Genomic DNA, 3745 nt, shown 5'->3' with positions numbered 1-3745 from the left:
TTAAGAATCTCAGTTGTGGGCCAGGCATGATGGCTCATGCCTGTAATCCCAGCGCTTTGGGAGGCCAAAGTGGGAGGATCATTTGAGGCCAGGAGTTTGAGACCAGCCTGGCCAACATACCAAAACCCTGTCTCTACAAAAATACAAAAATTAGCTGGGCGTGGTGGCACATGCCTGTAGTCCTAGCTACTTGGGAGGCTGAGGCAGGAGAATCACTTGAACCTGGGAGGTGGAGGTTGCAGTGAGCCGAGATTGTGCCACTACACTCCAGCCTGGGTGACAGAGCAAGACTCCATCTCAAAAAAAATAAATAAAAAAAATAAAGGAGGCCAGTAAGGAGATTTTGCTGTCAAGGTATATTGTGAGCTGAGTAGGAGGGTGTGGGATGTTCCATTTTCATCACCATGAACATCCCAATATCTGTTTTGGCTCAAGTTCAATAACTTTGAGCCTTGTCTCTCTTGTTCTTCCTGTTCTATTTTTTTATCATGCCTAAAATTACAGTGTACCAGATTCAGTCAACTGCCTACCAGATTCCCTTAAACGTGTATAACGTTGTTAAAACCATTGTTTTTAAAAAGCTCCTTTAAAACATGACATTTATTAGCCGTTATATTAAGATAAACGATCAAGTTATCCCCAGTGTAGATGTTACCCTTTGATTTAAATTCCAACTTGAGTAAACTAGGCAAGGAACATTAAAAGCAGAATGGTTTTTAGGACCCACCGGGTAATGCTAGAATTTGTGGCATGCTAAACATGAGCAGAACATATGCCAGAGACTCTTGGTTAATCACATTTGGGGCCCAATTAAACTTTTCCGACTTGCTCCTGCTTCTACCTGGGCCGCAGTGAAGAGAGCACAGCAGGTGAAATTGCCTTAGGCAGAAGGAAACTTCCACTCAGGCTGGTAAGGACAGGTTCAGCTGCTCATTAACTGGGCTCTTTGCAGATACTGAAGGACAAGGAAGAACAGGGCCAGAGCAAAGCCGGGGATAGGAGACATAAATACCTAAATGTTGCTCTCTCCTGTGCTTCCCAGGAACCAGGACTCTTCCCCACACTTACCTGTGAACGGTGGCAAAGGTCTCACACCTGGAAGGACAGACAAGCTCTGCAGGATGAAGGTACTGGGGCAAGAAATAGCTTGAGCCCTTTTAGAGGTCACACCATCCTTTTGTGATCTTTGTTAAATTCAGTTGTCACCAGACCACAGATGTGTGATAATTCATAGCATCCTTTCTTTTTCAAATTGAGAAGGACATCCAGATTATTGATCTCAGTCTCCCCAAGATGACTGTCCATCCTCAAAGGATCTCGGGGCCAGGCATGGTGGCTCACACCTGTAACCCCAGCACTTTGGGAGGCCAGAGCAGAAGGACCACTTGAGCTCAGGAGTTCAAGACCAGCCTGGGCAACATGGTGAGACCTCCATCTCTATAAAAAAACAAAAAATAAAAAAAAATAGCCAGGAGCTGTATCATACACCTGTACAGTCCTTAGCTACTCTGGAGACCGAGGAGGGAAGATCGCTTGAGCCCAGGAGTTCGAGGCTGCAATGAACTATGATGGCACCACTGCACACCAGCCTGGGCGACAGACCAAGACCCTGTCCCTAAAAATAAAAATTATAAATTTAAAATTTTTTCTAAGAAAGATCTTGGAAGAATTGCTTGATGGTGCTTTTCTTTGAGGAAGTGTTTCCTTTGGTCAACCTGTTGTTCCTTGCAGGCACTTTGCTGTGTTGGGGGTGACTGAACGTGCTTTAGAGGAAAGCTCTTTCAGAAGCTAGGAGCAGGAGGCTGGGCGCGGTGGCTTATGCCTGTCATCCCAGCACCGTGGGAGGCTGATGTGGGTGGATCACTTGAGGTCAGGAGTTTGAGACCAGCTCTGCCAACAGGAGGAAACCCTATCTCTACTAAAAACACAAAAATTAGACAGACATGGTGATGCACACCTGTCATCCCAGCTACTCAGGAGGCTGAGGCAGGAGAATCACTTGAACCCAGAAGGCTGAGGTTGCAGTGAGCCGATATCACGCCACTGCACTCCAGCCTGGGCAACAAGAGCGAAGCAAAACTCCTTCAAGAAGAGGAAGAAGAAGAGGAAGAGGAAGAGGAAAAGGAAGAGGAAGAAGAGGAAGAAGAAGAAGAGGAGGAGGAGGAGGAGGAAGAGGAAGAGGAAGAGGGAAGAAAGGAGAAGCAGCAGCTAGGAGCAGGAGATAGAGCAGACATCGGATCCCAGGGAATCTTTGTCAGGAGGTATTTTTCTCCACTCTGCTCTGGAGCTAAAAATTAGAGGGGCCTCTTGGGGAGCAAACAGAATGCAGGAAGAAAGAACACTGCTGCCAAGCTGTCTGCTGGAGTGAACACCAGGCCCAAGAGCTGAAGAGCTCCAGGAAATGGTGCTGATGGCACTTGGCGGCCTGTCTTCTATCTCCCAGTGTTTCTGAGCTGAGCCACCGGGGACCATGCGGCAGACCCCACTCTCTCCAAGTTCCCAGACCCAGTGAAAAGTGCCCAGGGAGAACCTGCCAGCAGCCCAAGGCCCCCTACTCCCGGCAGAATGACCCTCAAAGCCTGGCTTCCCAAGTTGTCCCCCAACACCTTTGGTGTCCTCTTCTGTGGCCAGGACCTAGCCATGTCTCCCTGGGGAACTCAGGACTAGCTAGTTGCCTTTTCTTTATTCCTTTCTTCATTCCTTCCACAAATATTTCTTGAGGGCCTGCTATGAGCCAGGCATCATTCAAGGCACTAGAGCTGTGACAAAGTCTTTACCTTCAGGGAACGCACATTCTACCTGGGGTGGGATACAGACAATGCATAGATAAAGAAATAATTCAGCGGGGCACAGTGGCTCACGTCTGTAATTCCAGCATTTTAGGAGGCCAAGGTGGGCGGATCATGAGGTCAGGAGTTCGAGACCAGCCTGGCCAACATGGTGAAACCCTGTCTCTACTAAAAATACAAAAATTAGCTGGGCGTGGTGGCACATGCTACTTGGGAGGCTGAGGCAGGAGAATCACTTGAACCTGGGAGGTGGAGGTTGCAGTGAGTTGAGATCATGCCAATGCACTCCAGCCTGGTCAACAGAGGGAGGCTCCGTCTCAAAAGAAAAGAGAAGAGAAAAGAAGGGAAGGGAAGGGAAGGGAAGGGAAGGGAAGGGAAGGGAAGGGAAGGGAAGGGAGAAAAGAGAAAAGAAAAGAAAAAAATAATTCTAGATAGCAAGAGATGAGAAAGGAAATAAATAGGGTGGAATGATATAGGGAACACCTGAGAGAGTGTGAGCCTCCTTTAGGGACGGAGGTCAGAGGAAGTAACATCTGAGCTGAGACCTAAGATGAGGAAAAGAAGTAGCCACTAAAAAATAAAATGGCAGCCTGGCGCAGTAGTTCATGCCTGTAGTTCCATTGCTTTGGGAGGCTGAGACAGGAGGATTGCTTAAGGCCAGGAGTTCAAGACCAGCCTGGGCAGCATAGCTAAACCCCTTTCTACAAAAAATACAAAAATCAGCCAGGCATGGTCGTAGACACCTGTGGTCCCAGCTACATGCGAGGCTGAGGTGGGAGAATCTCTTGAGCCTGGGAGGCAGAAGCTGCAGTGAGCCGTGATTGCACCATAGCACTCCAGCCTGGGCAACAGAGTAAGGACTATGTCTCAAAATAAAATAAGATAAAATGACAGTTAGGTGCAGTGGCTCACACCCATAATTCCAGTGCTTTGGAAGGCCGAGGCAAGAGGATCGC

The sequence above is a fragment of the Homo sapiens genome, chromosome 7, assembly GCF_000001405.40.
Source record: "Homo sapiens chromosome 7, GRCh38.p14 Primary Assembly".
NCBI lineage: Eukaryota > Metazoa > Chordata > Mammalia > Primates > Hominidae > Homo > Homo sapiens.
The sequence above is the reverse complement of the archived record's forward strand: the minus strand, read 5'-3'. Positions refer to the sequence as shown.